The sequence below is a fragment of the Homo sapiens genome, chromosome 2, assembly GCF_000001405.40.
Source record: "Homo sapiens chromosome 2, GRCh38.p14 Primary Assembly".
NCBI lineage: Eukaryota > Metazoa > Chordata > Mammalia > Primates > Hominidae > Homo > Homo sapiens.
Window position 1 is genome coordinate 58,182,231 of NC_000002.12, and position 19,705 is coordinate 58,201,935.

The 19,705-nt window shown below is 32.3% G+C and overlaps 1 protein-coding gene across 19 annotated transcripts in view; it reads right to left on the reverse strand.

Moving 5' to 3' along the window:
• Positions 1–19,705, reverse strand: part of FANCL (FA complementation group L) — an 82,138-nt gene that overhangs the window by 22,988 nt on the left and 39,445 nt on the right. For 5 of the 19 annotated variants that reach the window (XR_007077528.1, XM_011532944.3, XM_011532939.4 and 2 more), the window contains 2 exons: positions 16,349–16,432; positions 11,999–12,043 (listed from right to left, as the gene is read on the reverse strand). The exons of 2 other annotated variants lie outside the window; for them this stretch is intronic. Coding sequence is in view for 14 of the 17 variants with exons in the window: in XM_011532944.3 (XP_011531246.1) it covers positions 11,999–12,043; positions 16,349–16,432 (129 nt within the window). In the remaining 3 variants the exon portion in view is untranslated. The remainder of the gene's footprint in view (positions 1–11,998; positions 12,044–16,348; positions 16,433–19,705) is intronic. 12 more of the 19 variants (NR_164659.2, XM_047444856.1, XM_011532945.3 and 9 more) reach the window with 3 other exon arrangements.

Consider the following 19,705-nt stretch of genomic DNA (forward strand, 5'->3'; position numbering starts at 1 on the left):
CATTAATATACAAATTCTATTCCACCCATTCCTTTTTAATTGATATTAGTTCAATACAGCCTTTATACTGGGACTTTTAAAAGTTTCTCAAGTGATTCTAATGTGCAGATAAGGTTAAAAACCACTAGTGGAAGAATGAAGAATAGCCATGCTTGTTTCAGTCCAAATATTACCAGAGTCACACTTCCATACAATTCACAAAAAGAAAGGCACCCTTAAGAACATTTTCATCATAACTTTGACTTTCGTTGTTAATGTTTAAAATAATATTCTATTTTATTCCTGCGATAAATTTTGGAATTTTTGAGGGGTATACAATAAATTTGTAAGAAATAAAACCCATTTTATACAACTAACCCACGGAAGAAACAGTTTTATCTTCAACTTAAAATAGTCAATTTGTAACCATATTCAACAAAGTATATGAGTCAAGCACTGAAGAATGCAATCCTCACTTACATCACATCAGGTTATACAAAATTAAGTAAACAAATATTACATAAATGAATGATGTCCTAATACAATTCAATACAGCAACTCTGAATAATGTGTCTACTGAGTGTTACAGTCAATACTAGATACTGGTGATACTAACAATATAGAAGATGCAATAGAGTATGCTGATTAAGATCAAAAACTATAGTCAAGTAAGTCTCATCCCTAGCTCTACCACTTAACATTAGTTGCACCTTTTTAGCAAGTTACTTACCTCCCTTAGCATTTGTAATACGGAAATAGTGTTAATCCTCACAAGATCCGAGTGAGATAATGAAGATAAAATGTCAACTTCTTAGAAGAGAGTAAATGTATAAAAATTGGGAGCCATTATTATAAGACATATAGTACTCATCCTAGAGAAGTTCACAGCCTAATGAAACAATAGCAAAATATCTGTACCATATTGGACAAAGGATTGATACCCTTAATATATATAAGGTTACTAAAAAATATTTAAAATAAAAATGAACAGATAATAGAAAAAAATGAATAAAGACATAATTCCCTAAAAAGTATATACACGATCAAATAAAAATATCCAAACTCTTAAGTTTAGAGATTATTTCACTAATTGCAGAGCTTCAGAGTTACAGGATGGTGAAAAAAAAATTAAGTATATGGGTGTAGGTCTGAATTCTCCAAAGTAGCTTTTCCATCATTAACTGAGATAGCTTAATCCCATGGTTTGGCTCCTCTCTTACAGCACTCCCCTTATTAGTTACTGCTTTTATTACCAAACCTCAGTGAAGAGGTCAGCATTTTGTAGGTCCTATTGAATCTTTATCCATGCTCTTAATCCACTGCAGAATAATCAAGAGTGGTTTTGTTCTCACTCTGCTTCATTGATTTTATTCTAATCTTTCACTGGTCCCTAATTAGTGTGGTTATATTTTAAAAATCCTCTTTTATGACAATGACAATTTTTTATTCTCTTCTTTGTACCTTTCCATATTTTCTATAACATTTTTATAATCCTAGAAAAGCACATGTAGAAATAAAAATAAGTGATCTGTTACCCATCCTTTCATTTCCTGATGCTCACAGTATAGCAAAAAAATACATTAAAGTTGATTCAATGAAATTAACATTTTAGCCATGTACAGGACTACGTTGGCTTCTCTGATATAAAAGTACCCAGTTTGCAAGGAAATCACAGCTCTCATATTGATGGTAACAAGGTATTTGATCTTAAGCAAGACATACTCAGCCTCTCTAAGCTTTAACATTGCACCTATAATTGTGGATGGTACAAGAGACAACTTCTAAGGTAACTTCTAAGGTGACTTCCAGGTATAGAAGTCAAGAATTCTAAATATAACTGTTTGAAAATCCATGAAGTAGGTATTGCTTTCCCCTTAAAAGTACCAAGATTCCCTTTCAAGATGCCAATTATTACAATGTAATCTCATTTATTACCAATTCTTGTTTATAAAGAGATTTTAACAAATATGAATACATCCATTAAATATAAATGTCTATTTATATGATTTAATATACAATAACAATTTACTCTTTGATCAAAATAATTTTCACATCAGAATCAAAAACCTTTTATATGAGAATCAAAATATTTGGATTACATTATACTTTATATCTCCATGTATTTAAAGGAGAAGTAAAAAATGCATTATAAATCTACTATTATTGTCTAAAATATGGGAGAAAAACTGCAATAGTCAATAAACTCTTGAGTTTTGGAATAGGTTTTGAACCACAAATTCTTAACAGGAATAGCAAAACAACTGTACAGCTTAAATACAGTGAAGATCCAAAAATTACAACCAGAACTTTGCAACTGTTAGATCTGCTAATCAAAGCAAAATGCCGTCTGTTTTGTGCATACATACAATAATAAGAATAAGGAAATGAATAAAAATATAAGAGAAAAATTAAAGACAACAGAAATTAGCAACAGAAAACAACCCTTAAACATACATACATAAGGCTGCATGCCCCAAAAGCAATAAACTGTCTTATAGGAAGAAAAGTATCCTAGAAATCAAGTTAATGCAGAAGCCTCTCAGCTAAGCCTTAGCATGGTATGAGAAGGAAAAGAACACAATTCTCAGCAACGTCCTGACCTTAAAAAGTCCCCCAAAACGGGAGGAAACATCGTGAGAAAGTTAGGAAACATAAAACAAGGTGAGAATAAATAATAGCCAAGTACATTCTACTTCGCCTTCCACAAAAGGTTTGCAGCAAAGGTCCGTGTTGAAGGCACACCAACCCACCACAGACTTTAAAAAATCTATTTGTTGGTATGCCTTAACGTGGGGTAGGACTGCAGGAGAAAAAAGAGGCACAGGCCAAACAAGAGAAACTAGAAAACTACCTCTATAATACTACATGCAGAGGGAGCACAGAAGCTAAGTTTAACAGGGAAATATTCCCTGATATGGAATCTAATCTTCCTATGGTGAAAAATCAAAGGTCAGAAGAATAAAAAAAAAGAATTAATCTTAAGGAAAAAATAGACATCTCCACATCATTTGAAAAGAGCAAGCATAAAGATATTAAGAGATCAATCCAATATTAAGTTCTCCTAAGGCACTTAATGAAATTCTCTGCACCTAAATCAGAAATACCCTGACTGTTCCGTATACGGGCTTGTCCATGAAAAGATCTGTATTTGGGATCTCTGTGTTAATGCACCTGAAAGTTTCTGAACACACATACTGAAAAGATTTCTGAACAAACCATCCAACTAGCATATCTGACATTTAAACCTTGAGATCATGAACCATTAGAAAGTTACTCTATTCAAAGGTCACCAAATCACGAACTTACAAAAAAACTAAATGGCTTATTCTACTTCCTGAATAGTCTTATAACACTGAAGCACCATCAGTTGCTTTTGGCAATGCTTGCCAATTTTTATGCTGGAAGTTATGAATGAGTCAAAGACCCCGATAATTAAGCAGGGTAAGGACAGGGTTGGTTATTCTTGCTCATGTTTAATAAATGAAATAAACCACTCGAAAACTGGGTATCATTATTCTAAAGCCTTAAAATGTATCTCATTTTTGAATTATTGCTTAAGAAGCACAAGTTAAGGAATCAGGAGATAAACAAAAATTCTGTTAGTTCCATGACTAGGGAATATAATTTTAGTCAAGGAGTCAGTAGTTTGGCTTGTACAGTGTTATTTTCCACTGCTGAATTACTTGTACACTTAGGTCTAAACATTTTAAAAAACATATTAGTACCTATCACTGAAATATTGAGAAACACTTACATTCTGCAAACTAGGTACAAGTGCAGCTAAGAAGTCAGTGCCTATTACCCACTGTTAGTTATACAGTAGTCACAGAAAATTTTTCAAATAGTGACAAGTCAAAGGAAGCCGACAGCAACTGTGAAGAAGATTACAATTTTCTAGGGGCAAGGAAATAATTTGAGAGAAGCCTAGTGCAGCCTTTGATTTATAAATTGATTTTAAAGAAGGCCTGCCAAGTTATACTGCTTAGGAGGTCATATATAATTGCATAGGTTTTGTTCAATCTTGAAAAATAAGTCAAATAATCAAAAAGCAAACATCAGAATTTTCTTTAAGAAGGTAAATTTCTGGGCCATAAGTATGATTGGTATATTTGGACCCTTGTCCTACATATCTTCATCTGTAGCATACAACAATGACAATTGGCCCAAGCTTGAGATTTCCCCAGAAGGCAAAGCCAGAGACAAGGACATGTATGGGGAAAATTTATTGGAAGTGAACTCAGGGAACGAAGAGTGGGGACTGGAAAGAGTGAAACACAGTAGGGAATGCCAAAATAAGGATGTGCTTTCAAGCTGGTTATTGTAGTCAATGGTAGCTATGTAAGCAGCTGTAGAAAAAGTTCCTCAGAATTCCTGTCCAAGAACCAGAATGCAAGAGCATTTTTTTCCGGCTTCCATGCCACTGGCTGAATTGCCCTAAAGGGGATTCAGTCTCTCACACTTACAGGTGTAGATATGTATGTATGCCTTGTGGCTTCCACAAGCATCCTTGGTCTTACAGCATTAGAAAATCCCTGGGGCAAAAAGAAGTAAAGTGGCGGAACCGCAGTGAATTGTTTTGTCAACATACACCACCACGAAGCTGACTGAAGCAATGTGGTTGAGTAAAAAGTGCTGCAAAAATCAAAACCAGAATGAGATATCATCTCACACCAGTTAGAATGGCAATCATTAAAAAGTCAGGAAACAACAGGTGCTGGAGGATGTGGAGAAATAGGAATGCTTTTACACTGTTGGTGGGAGTGTGAACTAGTTCAACCATTGTGGAAGACAGTGTGGCGATTCCTCAAGAATCTAAAACTAGAAATACCATTTGACCCAGCAATCCCATGACTGGGTATATACCCAAAGGATTATAAACCATGTTACTATAAAAACACATGCACACATATGTTTATTGCGGCATGATTCACAATAGCAAAGACTTGGAACCAACCCAAATGTCCATCAATGATAGACTGGATTAAGAAAATATGCCACATATACACCATGGAATACTATGCAGCCATAAAAAAGGATGAGTACATGTCCTTTGTTGGGACACGGATGAAGCTGGAAACTATCATTCTCAGCAAACTATCGCAAGCACAGAAAACCAAACACCGCATGTTCTCACTCGTAGGTGAGAACTGAACAATGAGAACACTTGGACACAGGGCAAGGAACATCACACACTGGGGCCTGTCGTGGGGTGGGGGGGATGGGGAAGGGATAGCATTAGGAGAAATACCTAATGCAAATGACGAGTTAATGGGAGCAGCAAACCAACATGGCCCATGTATACATATGTAACAAACCTGCACGTTGTGCACACGTACCCTAAAACTTAAAGTATAATAATAAAAAAAAAAAAGTGTTGCAAAGAAAGTGAAGTTGGAAGCAAGAATTACCTGATTTCTAGGCAGAAAAAGACAAGCAACTGACATAAGTTCAATTCCCTAAGAGCTAAGTAAATATATTTTGAAAACTTTTTACACATGAAATAAATTTATATAAAGCTTTAATGGTAGTAAAAGTGTTATCCTTGAAAAATCTAGAACGTGTGTATACATAAAACAACGTCCATTTTGAGTTTTATTATTGAACTTTGAGAGTTCTTTATATATTTTAAACACATCAGATATATGATTTGCAAACATTTTCCAGTCTAGCTTCTAATTCTCTTAATAGTGTCTTTCAAGAACAGAAATTTTTAATTTTGATGACGACCAATTTATCAATTTGTTCTTTTTTGGACCTTGCATTTGGTGTTATACTAAGAAATATCTGCCTAGCCTAGAGTTACAAATACTTTTCCCTGTGTTTCTTCTAGAAGCTTTATATTTATGTTTTTACATTGTTTATAATTCATTGTAAGTTAATTTTTGTATATGGATCGATGAGGTCATTTTCACTTACAGATATCTAATTGTCTCAGCACCATGTGTTGAAAGACTGTCCTTCCTCCACTAAACTATCTTTGTACCTTCGTTGAAAACAGCTGTCTGTATATGTATGGGTATATTTCTGAATTATCTATTCCAGTGATCTACTTGTCTACCTTTATGAAAATACCATATTATCCTGAAAAAAGTAGATTTTTAAGTCTTGAAATCAGGTTGTGTTAGTCTTCTAACTTTTTTTCTTTTTCAGAGTTATTTTAACTATCACAGGACCTTTGCAGCCTTTGCACATACATTTTGGAATAATTCTCTTAATTTCGGGGTTTTTTTGTTTTTTGGTTTTTTTTTGAGATAGGGTCTCTCTGTCACCCAGGCTGAAGTGCAGTGGCATGATCACAGCTCACTGCAACCTTGAGCTCCTGAGCTCAACTGATCCTCCCACCTCAGCCTCCTGAGTAGCTGGGGGACTACAGACACGTTGCCCCCACACCCAGCTGATTTTTGTATTTTTTGTAGAGACGAGGTTTCACCATGTTGCCCAGATGGTCTCCAACTGCTGGGCTCAATCAATCTTCTCGTCTCGGCCTCCTGAAGTGTTGGGATTACGGGTGTGAGACACTGCGACCAGCCATAATTTTGTCAATTTCTTAAATTAGGAAGGAAAAAAAAAAAAAGAGCTGTTGGGATTTTGATTGCGAATGCATTGAATCTCTAGATCAATTTGGAGAAAATTTTACTAGCCAAATTCTGAAAACAACCCATATGCCCATCAAAAGGTGAATGGCCAATATGTGGCACATCCATCAATACTTACCAAAAAAAGAATGAACTATATTACATGCTACAACATGGTTGAATCTCCAAGTAATTCTGCCAAGGAAAAAAGACTGGCACAGAAAAGTACCCAGAATTATATAAGATTCTGTAAACTGCAAACAAATCAATGGTAGCATAAAGCACATCAGTAGTTGCCTGAGGCCCTGGTGGAAGGTTGAGAAGGACTAAAGGGAGGGACAATAATGAGGAAGGAGGTGACTGGGATGTGATGGATGTGTTTATTATCCTGATTGTGGTGACAATTTAATGTGTGTAGATATTTGTCAAAACTCAGCAAAGTGTACACCTTAAATACATTCAGTTTACTGTATGTCAATTATATCTCAATAAAGCTATTTAAAAAACCAGTCATTCTGATTTATGAACAGTAATGGATCTACACAGCAGTAGATGTGTAGAAACTAACAGCTTCTCGTTAGTTTTCTCAACAATTAGGAACTTAAAAAACACAAAATAGTAACAATCCTCACAGTAAGGACAAAGAATGCAGAAGAGTTCATACACCCAACACTTAAAAGAATAAAACTGTATTACTTTTATATGTATATATAGATACATAAATGTATATATATTGGAGAAGAGGGAAAGATATATGTGAGAACTAAGATGTTAGCTATTTCCCCATAACTGTTATTAAATTATGTTGAGCTAGGAAAGCACTTAAGCAGGAAAGTATGAACACTGCCAATCTCAGAATGTAACGCTTATTATCTTTAAAAGCATTTTGTTACTTTCATAATACCTGAAGTGAAGTAATAATGTCAGTCACTTAACCAGATCTTAGAGTATAATATCTTCATCTTAAGTACTATTATTTCCAGTATTTTAATAATTTCCACAAAGTGCCAGAATGTGATCTTTTGTGCTATGATGACACTTAAATTAATAGCATAATTTTCTGGTACTTGCAACAGTTGTTTTCAATTCTGATCTTTTTTATTCTTCCCTATAATACTTGCAGATAAATCCCCTAATAATCCTTTTTTTTTCTTTATCTTTGGGGGATTCCAAAAGTATAAATAGAATAAGAGAATATTAAGAAATAAAGCTTTTTAAGAAATTTAATTTTAGTATTACTTGCAATATCTCCATCAGGTATCTTTAAACAGGTGATAAATCTAAATATTCAGTTCATTTGAAGTTACTTACAGGCTTCATTGATGTTTTCAACTCTTTCTACAGGTATATCTGTAACTGAATTTGTCTGGTCAAACACTGTTATCTGTCAAGCAATCCGTAAAGAACATATCACCTCTTCTATACTTAAGTTATTTTGACTATAACTGATCACTGATCACCCATCATTTAAAAAATCTGCTAGTGTTTTTCATTCATGTGAAAAGGGTATCTGCCCACAGGACCAAATGAAACATAGTCACCTCATGTGTAGCCATCACAGAGTAACTATAGCAATTCCACTTTTGAAAAGTGAAAGAAAGAAAGCTCCTCAAGCACATGCTGAAAATAAGTAGGTACTTTCAATCTTATCCTTAGCATCCTATATTGTGTACTATTCAAAAAGAAAAAAAAAAAAAAAAGGCCAAGCCAATTAGTGGACCAGAAAAAAAGAAAGAAAAAAGAAAAAAGACTAGCTTTTTGTTCCAGTTAGGTTATACCCAAAAGGGTGCTACCATCCATAAAGAAAAAAGTTAGCTATATCTAATTTTTCATCACTCTAAAATCAATGAAATAAAAAAAGATCATAAAAACCTTTACATCACATAAGTTCAAAACTAATAGAAAGAATACCAATTTGCTGCTAGCTGACAATGTTATTCTCACAGCCAGAGCCAAGGAACTAACAGTGACATCATTTAATTAATTAATTAATACTGTCTCAGTGTCTCTACTATTTACAAACTCCAATATTTTCCAATTCTATATCTATCTAATAAATTGGTTTGGCTTCTAAAATTCAACTTTTATTTTGGCACAAAAAGATGAGGGGGGAATATTTTCTAGCTCTAAGTATTAACATTTCTTAGTGATGCTAGGAGGTCATATTTGAATTAACACTTTTTGTCACTGAAGTATCTATCATTTCTGTCTTCAACCTATTGGATCTTTATTCTCCAATGGGCATGTTTTTCAGAAATGAAGGTTTAAAACTTATAAACACATACATGCATGCATGCACAAGCATATAAACACCCACATATTCCAAATTAGCCCCTGGATTATAAAAAAAAAAATTCAAATAGACATATAGACATAGTGTATCAATTTACCAGAGTCCCTGTCAGGAACAAAACATGAGAGAATGTTAATAAATTATACTCGCATTAAAATAAATTTGCTTCACTAATATTGAAAAAAATAATTTTTATCCAAAAGTATTTTAAAATATTGATCACAACATTAAAGGAGTCATTTGGAGACTGATACTCACATGTTTTCTCTTACTTAGGACACCTGCTATATAAGAATATTTTACTGAGTTACTCCAAACCATAACATTAAGCATTAAGTTCATCAAAGTACTCACAATATATTAACCAATAAAACTGTGAAACCAAACAGTATTTCTCTCAACATCTCTTATCTCTGTTATTTATAGTACAATGTATATGTAGTCACCTTCCACATCCACGTAGCCTGGTGAGATTGACCATGATTTTTCATTAATCATCCCTATTTCATTTTTGAGCATAGAAAACTCCTTGTTTACTGCACGTAAATAAAATGCTGTCTTTAAAGTCTTTAACATATACATAATTCAATATATAGATAATAATTGCTGTCTGACAGATATGTGTGTATAAATCCACAAATATACAATATCATTACACATGGAGAGAGACTACTTCTTTGCCCATATTAGCTCTCACTATATTAAGAGTTCACCAGTTTACAAACTGCATTAACTCCCTACATCACTTTGTACATTTGTACAGCATTTTACAATTCAAAAGGATTTTCATATACAACACCCCAATTTGTTCTCATATGTAATCTATGACACAGATATTCTTTCTCTCTTTTTATAAATAAGTAATTTACACAAGGTCATGCACTGGTAAAGACAGAGCCAGAATTTGATCCAGACTTTAAGACTCTGTATTCTCTTTATACTATGCTACAGTGGCTGAGCAGATATGAAGCCTACTGTGAAGGTCTATAGTAAAGTCATATTTATTAACATCAGCAAGTAAATCAGTTAACGTACCAATGAAGGCATTTGATTAAAAAAACCTGTTCCATGCAACTAGTTTCTTTGGGTCTTTAAATTCATGAGAGAGCTTTGCCATTCCACAAGTATCTCATGTGCTCAAAATGCACAGATCTCAAATCTTCTACAAAGCTTAAACCAATTTTTATAATCTTAGAAATCAACTGAAACTATAGCGATATAATATCTTCTTTAATCTGGCAAGTAAGTGAGATTCAAAGTCATATATCCATCCCACTGCCCATAAAACACATTTACTTAAGAAATACCATTGGTATTTTAGTATATGGAGGTTGAATGAGTTATAACAACTTAGAAAACTAAAGAAATGGAAAAGTTTTTTAAAAAGTGACCTCTAGGAATAATAAAAACGAGGGTGACAAAGGAAAATTAATCACCGTTAACCACATTACATTAGACATAAGTAACCACATTACTTATATCTACATAGGATACAAATATCTTCATAATAATGTAAACACTGAATATTATTATCCAAATTACAATATAGTTATTTGGGGAAAGCAGGAAGATAGGATGGAGTGAGGGTAGGTGGAGAAAACAACAAACTCCTCATTATCTACGGTGGAATTTAGTAGATAATGCCTAAAACAAAAAGTAGTATAAATACAAAAGCATGTAATGACAAATTAACTACTGAAAGAATCAGCTAACAGCCAAAAGTGTTTGCCCCTGGAGAAACAGGTGAGATGAAGGCTATGCTGTTTTTTCTAAAAAGAAAACAAAAACAACAACAACAAAAAACCTTGCAAACTTAACTTCTGAAGCTATGTTCACATATTTGATCAAAATAAAACATTTTAAAAAATCAATAGCTTGCCCACATCCTGATGATCAACTAAAAAATACAATTAAAAAGATTGCATTAAAAATAACAAAAATTTTAAAATACTTAAGAAAAAATTCAACAAAAATATGTAACATGTAGATTAAGAAATCATTGCTACTTTACTGAAGGACCTAAGTAAATGTAGAGATAAATGTTTTTCTAGATTTTGGCCATATTAATTCTTAATTTGCTGGATAAACGTAAACCCAATTGTAACTAAAACCCAAGTAATTCTAAGAATTATTTGGAATAACAAATGCACAGTATTATCAATGATATTTTTTAAATGAAACTTTGTTAAGTGACAAGCATAGTTTCAAAACAATTATACAATGACACCTCAATACTACTGCCTAAATAAAAGCATTAATGGTAACTTTACATTTTAATTTTAGTTGCTTGTATTTTTCCTCTTTCTCTTCTTTTTTAGAATCAATATAGGCTGCTTTTTAAATAAATAATTAGCTATCGAGAAAGAAAAATAAAAGAAAGGCAGCTGATAGGTGACTAAGTCTATAGGTCAAATGACTGCTACGCTTATACTTTTTCTACCATATCACATAATCTCAATAATAAATTTTCTTTGTTTTGATCCCTTTGATGTCTTTTCAGCCATACCACTGTGGCAACAGTAAGACTGCCAACAAAGAAAAAGCATAAGAAATTAACCAATTTAAGAGTGAATAAAATTCCACTACTGTAAGTCCTCCAACAAAAACAGCAGAGGAAAAAATGGAAAGAAAAAGAATCCAGTTGGTCAAAAGAACTTCCACAGGATTATTACAGTGAAAAACTAGGGGATTTGCCCCAACACTGTGTTTGTTTTAAACTCGATTTATTTTTCTTTACATATCCATGAAAAGAAAAAAGGTTCACCATTTCCATATACAGTACATACGAACTGAGGCAAAGGGCAGTTATGTGACTTGTCTGAATAATACAATTAAATTAATGACTGAATTGTAAACACAACTTAGAATACCCAAATGCTAGTATACTGCTCTAACTAATGGATAATGCTCCCTGCTATGTAATAGGACTGACTCCTTTAATTACAAATTCTTCATTCACCATCAGATTATCAGCCAGAGGCTTTATCATTAGTTTTGCTCTTCTTGCATTCATGGCATTATTCCAAGAATGTAAGATTTCCATGATAAAAAAATATAAAGACCACTATTTACTACACCACACTGAACCTGAGGATTCCAACTGCCCATGGCAAGAATACTTCACCAAGCCTGCACTTAGTGGCACACTTACAGGCAAAACCGCAATTTTCACATCCATTTTTGCTTGATCAGTGACCTGGACAAAAGGAATTTCGTTTTTTTATAATCATAATATCAGTGCACTTAAAATCTGACATTTAGGCATTCTACAGTCTCAGTCAAGAGTATTTACACATCTGACCTGTATGTAAAATTCTAAAGCATTAAGGATATATTTTGAAGCATTTGTGATGTTAGAAAGTAGAATAAAATTATGAGATGTTCTCATCGTCTATGCTAAAATCTATAAAAGATTAACTGAGCAAACAAATAAAGCAAATATCTAGAAAGAGGTGCTTAGACACTTGTCTTTGAGAAGCACTTTGTGCTTCTTTGGCACATATCATGGCAGCAATAGTAGCAGCAGCCTTGCCCTTGGTGCTGATTTCTTACTACTCTAAATGTCTCCTCTGAGCCAGAATACACTGGCTGTTGCTGATCATGCTGTGAGACACCTGCACTGGCTACTAGGCTTGTCATGACGCACAAAACCCTACCATCTTCAGCTTGACATTGTGCAAGTTATAATTATTCATCCAAATGAATATGTCAGAGCAGCAGCAGCAGACCTCTCATCAGAGCAAAAGAAAAATACATCAAAACATTATCAACCCAGCAGGAAGACAGGGACCATAAGGAAAATTACCCATTTTTAATATGGATGCCACAAAGCCATGTCTATTATATCACAAAAAAAAAAGAAAAATAAAGATCTTCCAAGTTTAAAGTCCAGAAACACTGACTCCAAAGAGAAAATACACAAAAGCAGAAAGGGATTTTTAAAAAATCAATTATCTGAAATCTATTTACCATCTCTTAAATCTAACTCTGCTATTAAACTACAACAGTAACATTTATATTGCTTGAGAGACAACTGTTTAAAAATTGTTTTAAAAAAACTCCCACAAGCAGAATTGTTTTCAGCCAGCCAATTAAAAAAGATTACACATAACAAGAAGTCTCACATTTCTTCTTATTTTCAAAACATAAACTATCAACACTCTTATCATGTCTAAAAGACTCAGAGTTCACACTGCTGGTACCATCCAAAGTCCTTATGATATACAGCCAGAATCTTATAGGTAAATGATATATTTTTTAAACTTTCTAAATATTAATGGCATGTGTAAAAGAAAAACTGTGAAATCAGCCCCCAACCCGCACAAATGAAGAAGACACATTCAAATTGTATAAGCATATAGAATATAGGGGCTATCTCATACTTAAATACTTAAATAGCAAAAATACCTTTCTGAACTATAGCAGAATATCTTTTCAGAAAAATATATGAAAGATTTTATTTGAAACACAACAGAAACCACAAGAGAAGGATGTGACCAGACTGAAAGTTAAACTCTGTATGACAAAATATATACAAAGTTAAAAGACATGCCACAGAGATATTTATATCCCATATAACTAACAAAAAATTAGTATCAAAATATAGATAAAATGTTTATAATAAAAGGAAAAAAATATAGGCTAAGGCTATGGACACAATAATAACTATAAACTTATAAGAAGGTCAGACTAAGATGAGACTAAAGCTTGCAAAGAATATGCATTGCTGAATGGGAATATAAACTTATACAACAATCTAGGGAAGGCAATTTGTCAATACTGCGTAACCCCAAAGAGGCACATAGCCTGAAATCCAGCATTTTCACTTCTAGGAAAAACCCATACTAAAAGTCTCATACATGTGCACAAGGAAACATGGAAGGATGTTCACTGCAGCACTGTTTGTCAGAATTTGTGAATAACCTTATCAGTAGTGCTACAGATAAATCAAGTTGCTGATTAACATAATGGAATAATATAAAGTATTTAAAATAAATATAGTAGACAAACATAAGATTATGGCTAAATCACTGAAATTATATAATGTTAAAAAAAGAGACTGCAAATATGGCATAAACAAATATGGCAAAAAGTATGCACGGATGGCCTATATACCAATTTTGGGTAAACAGTTACTACTTAAAGGGAGAGAAGCAAAGAAAGGAAAGATGGGAAGGAGGGACAGAAAAGGGGGTCAGGTCTTAGCTATTCTTAAAACATTTTATTTTTAAGACAAAGAGAAATATAGATGTATCTGAACCAAAAGTGACAAAATATTAACATTTGTCAAATCTGAGTTGTGATAAAAGGCTGTTTTAATTTATCTGTATTTTGCTTAGAATTTCAGTATATTCCACAAATTAAGAATTTATAACACTCATTACTACGAATTCTACATTTTCTTAGAGTTACTACAAAACAAAACTTGTATGACCCAATTAAACCTGAAACTTAAATTTGAATTAATATTATTAATATAATATTTATTCCATGCTTATATGAATAAGGCACTGAGCATGTGGATATAAAATTTAAAAGAAATTGCCTTCAAAGACTTTCCAGTCTAGTAGAGAGTCACAAACTGATTTTGTTAAATAACAAAATAAAGTACTAAACAATCTTTTCATGGCATTGCAAACTTTTCCACAGATAAATGCCTGGGGAAACTTCTAGAATTATCTACATCTAAAACACAAAGAAACTCATAAACAGTGTATTTTTCAACCTTGGAATTGTGATAAATATTAAAGTATAATTTAGAAATAACACCTGGAAAGAGTAACACAACCTAGCTATAATATTTTCTCATGATCTCACTTAAAACATCAAGATTGAACTTCCAGAGCCAAATAGAAAATGTGTATTTTAAAAAAAGGGACATGGGTCTCATGAAATTTTTTTAAAATAAAAAAAGAAAGCTATAAAATTTATGCATAATTCCAATTCTTTAATAGAAAAAAAAATCAACATAGTATTTTACTTATAGCATACATCAAAATACCAAAAGCAAATTACAGGCTCTCTCTTCTCTATTTTGCTATGTTTTCTCAACTTCCATTGTGGGGAGATTGGGACTTTAAAAAAAAAAACAATAAAAGGATATGAGAAAAATAATTTTTGGATAAATACAATATATAATTAAAATGGCATTTTGGCCTTGACAAGACTATTTAAATCCTATTAGGCTTTTTATTTTTTTACTAATTTCTTATATATTTACTTTACTCATGTATTTATGTTTTAAAATACAAGCATAATTTTTTATTTAAATCTAACCAAAATTTTATAGCCAAAATGAGTAGCCTCCATTTACGGAATATTTGTAAAATGTCACTAGAAATGTTTTTTCTCTTTGCCTAAGAATAAAAATGTTCTCTCCATTTTGCTATCAACTGCCACAATTTACTTGGTGAAAGAACTATGCCCTAACTAATCACATTGTGCCACATCCTTAAAAATCACACACATGAAATGGTGATAGTACTACCGATAATCATACCACCTTATATCTATGTTATAGTTTACAGTGCACTTCTAAAAAACATTATCTTGCTAATATCATCAATGTACTGCGAAATTCAACTGACAGAAGCAGGAGAATCTTCTGTATTCTTTACTCAAAATATTGAATGTTCTAAAGCACAAAATAAAAGAATATAATCAAAGTTTAAAGATGAACTAAGGACAAATACTTTAAAACAATAAAAATGGAGTAGAAATGCCAAGGTTTATGTTTTCAGTCATAATTCATTCTCCTCTGAAAAGGATTCTCTGATATTATGTAATCAATGTCAAAAGTTTTAGCAATATAAAACATTTCACTCAACTTTTCAGTTACCATTCACTGCTTTCTACAGAGTTCTTTGGAATTTAAATTTAAAGGAAAATGTCTGTCAAAAGTGCTTCTGCATGTTTACTGAAAATGAAGCATAAATATCTACAGGCTGGATGGTGTGTGTGTGTGTGTGCGTGTGTGTGTGTGTATTTATGCATGGGTGTGGGTGTGAGTGGGTGTGTTTGTGTGTGCATGTAGAGAGGGAGAAAGAAAATGGACATTAACTGTAAGGAAATATAAAAGAAGCATTATAGAAGGTGTGTTTATAAATAAATGCTTAAGGAAAACTGAAAAAACAAAGATTACTTCATAACCTATAATGACTACCTAAGTAAAAACAGTTACAGTTGGCCCTACCCACGGATTCCACATGTGCAGATTCAACCAACTGCAGACAGAAAATATTCAAAAATAAATAAATAACATAACTATTTACAGTATAACAACTACTTACATGGCAAATGCATTGTATTAGGTATTATAATCTAGAGATAACTTAAAGTATACAGAAGAGTGTGCACAGGCTATAAACAAAGTCCCATTTATATAAGAGATTTGGGTATGCATGGATTTTGGTATTTACAGAGGGCCCAAGAAATAATCCCCCCATGGATACTCTGGGACAACTGTACTTTTTAATTACTTAAAACAAATTTAAGAATTTACCTGAGGAGAATTTACCTGAGGTGTCCAGGAGGCACAAAATGGAACAGGAAAATCCACAAAATAATCTGGTGATTCTGCAGGATACTATTAAAAAAGCATAACATTAGACCATTTTTGCTTCTGTGTGTTAATATCACTGAGGTATTTTAGAAAAACTAGATGTATTAGGGGCCGGGCGCGGTGGCTCACGCCTGTAATCCCAGCACTTTGGGAGGCCGAGGCGGGCGGATCACAAGGTCAGGAGATCGAGATCATCCTGGCTATACGGTGAAACCTCGCCTCTACTAAAAAATACAAAAAATTAGCCAGGCATTGTGGTGGGCGCCTGTAGTCCCAGCTACTTGGGAGGCTGAGGCAGGAGAATGGCGTGAACCTGGGAGGCGGAGATGGCAGTGAGCCGAGACTGCGCCACTGCACTCCAGCCTGGGCGACAGAGTGAATCTCCATCTCAAAAAAAAAAAAAAAAAGAAAAACGAGATATATTGGGGGAAAACATATTATTATAACTGAAAATGTATTACATATAAATATTTTTGCTCCACTTTCATAGTGATGTGAAGAGCTTATTTATAGTCAACCTATGGAGGTGCAAGTTTGGTGATTTGGAAGTGCCAAAGCAATCGGTGTTGAGTAAAAGGTAATGAATTAAGTCAGCGTTGTGTCAGCTGCTGAAGTTATGATTTGAGGAATGAACCAAACTGGATCTCTGTTTATCTTTAAAATAAGAGATCAAATGAGTTGATATTTAATTTTCTTCTAGTCCTAAATTTAATTTCAAATAGCATCAGTCACTATTTAAATAGGCAGTATCAGTTAAAGGAATTAAGAAATACACAAACATGAATACATATAGCTGTCAATTTAAAAAATTATTTTCTATATTAAAGATATTAATTTTAGCAAGAAGATAAAAAGAATGAAATATCTTCTGGCTTATTAAGAAAAAATAAAACAGTTTTTAGCAAGAAAAACCTTTGAAAGATTGCTAAATACAAAATTATTTCTTCAACTAGTCATATAAAAACTGGCAGTCATGAGGACAAACCAAGTTTTTAAGTTAACAAAGGCAAAAGATAAAATTTCTTAAAATCAATTTCCTTATTAGAGAATCATACTTAATGATTTCTCTATAATCCAATTCTGATTCTTCAAAGTCACATGTAATTAAAAATACCCATTTCTTTTCATTAAAAAGCTAAATGTACTGAAAGAAAATTAGTTTTAGGAAATCTTTCATTTGACAAATTATTAAAAGAAGTTTTAGGCTTTCACTTTTTTCAGCCTCTTATTTTTCAGTACTCTGCTGGGTAAGTAAAAGGGAAGAAAAAAATCACTACAGTATTTAACAAACATTTGAAATCAACACTTTCAAAAAAATTAACATTTAGCTACAATAATAAGTTGGCTAAAAAGATTTACTATCAATATACACTCTGACTAATGGAATCTGGCTATGTAGAACTAATTAACACAAAGGCAAATAGATAAGAAATCATATAAAAATATTCCAGTGGTCTACTTCTGGAAAAAAAAAAAAAGAAAAAAATATCATGCTGAAATTAAAAGAGGAAGTTCTATTTCAGACAATTAAAAATATCAGATGATGTGCTTCAGAGTATCATTGCTGTAATCACTGGAAAAACAATTTGTATGCCATATTTAAAAATCGTGATTATCTCAAAGTAAATGTAGACAGAGACCTCAGCTTTCTTTGGTTCCAGCTCTGCTAACTAAGTTGTATGATCCTGAACAAGTCATTTAATTTCTCTGGCTGTTTCACATGTAAAAATGACAAAACTCAACTAGAAGTGTTACAAAATCTCTTTTCCTTCTAAAATGTCAAAATTCTTTAAAAATAATGTGCACTTGAAACCTCTGTGGGTCAAAAATGGAAAATTTAGTTCATTTTGAGTTGCTATTTATCTTAGTGATGCTGACAATGAACAATATCAACTCTCTAACTTCAATGAATCATCAATGTAGATAAAATAAGACTAATGAAATGTTTACTGTATTTGGAGTAGATACACAAAGTAAAGTATCTGTGGCCCCATTAAGTACATACACAGCTCATTATGCTAAAAGAGAGTAAGATACTACATTCAAGTAGGATTCAGTATAGTAAATGGTATCAATGTCCTGATATGGAAAGAGATCCACAAACAGTTAAACAAAAAAGCAAGTTAGAGTAAATATATGATCCTACATATATAAATGAGTCCAGTATGTAGTTTCTGAGATAATGACATCTTTCAAATATATTTTTATATTTGTAATACAATATGTATATAATAAATTAGACTGATCTTTATGCAAGTGGCTTTACTTCATATCTGAGTTAAATGAGTATTTGCAATATGTGTTAATTACATTCATGTGCAAAATCAATTTTGTTTATATAACAAACCTCACATAACAGTACAGAGCTTAAAAAGAACATTTATGTAAGTCTGGATGATTTATCATAAATATTAAAATATAAACTAGCATACTAGATATTCATTTTCAGAATAGCTTCTGAATTATAATAGTATTAACTACAGTGTAGATGACTAAATACAATATAAGAAAGTAACTTGATCAAAATTAAGATACTTTTCAATAATAAGTTGTATAGGTATATATAAAACCACTGACAACTAATTGTCAAAACTTTTCCTTTCAAAAGTAATTTACAACAACAAAAGCTCCATATCATATAGGAATATTAACTGAAAAATAAGTATAGTATTTAATTATTTTCAAGTAAAACATAGTTCTCCAAATCTCATTTGCAGAAAATCAAATCAATAACTAAAAAAAAAGATTACATAATATTAAGTATATATTTTTATCACACACAGTATTTTTTAGACTCTATAATATTAATATATTCTAAAACAAATTTTAACCAAGTCTGTTCTGTGACTAGACTACCTAAGCAGTAAGGCTGATCCCCAAGTAAATACATACAAATTGCAGCAGAGAAAGAGTGCCCACCCTCTGATGCATATATGTAATTTGTTTTTCAAGTAGTACTGATCTTGATTGACCAAAGCTGAGGAAGCCCTGGGCTGCTACTTTTGTAAAGCAAAGGTAATTCAGTACTGAATGCACTGTAAGCATTGCATAAAAATATACCTATAAAAACCAAAAAATTTATCTGGTTTACTTCTACTTATTTATTATTTACATATTTACTTTTAATAAAGGACATCTAGTCAAAATAGGTATTTGTTTTCTTTGTGAGTTTCTTGGAGATCGTGAGGGGAAGTGGTAGAATTGGGAAAGTATGTATTCCAGAATAAATAGAACAAATGCATTTATTTACTGTATATTTAAAAAATCAAGTAACAGAAATAAAGGTTTGTGTATTTA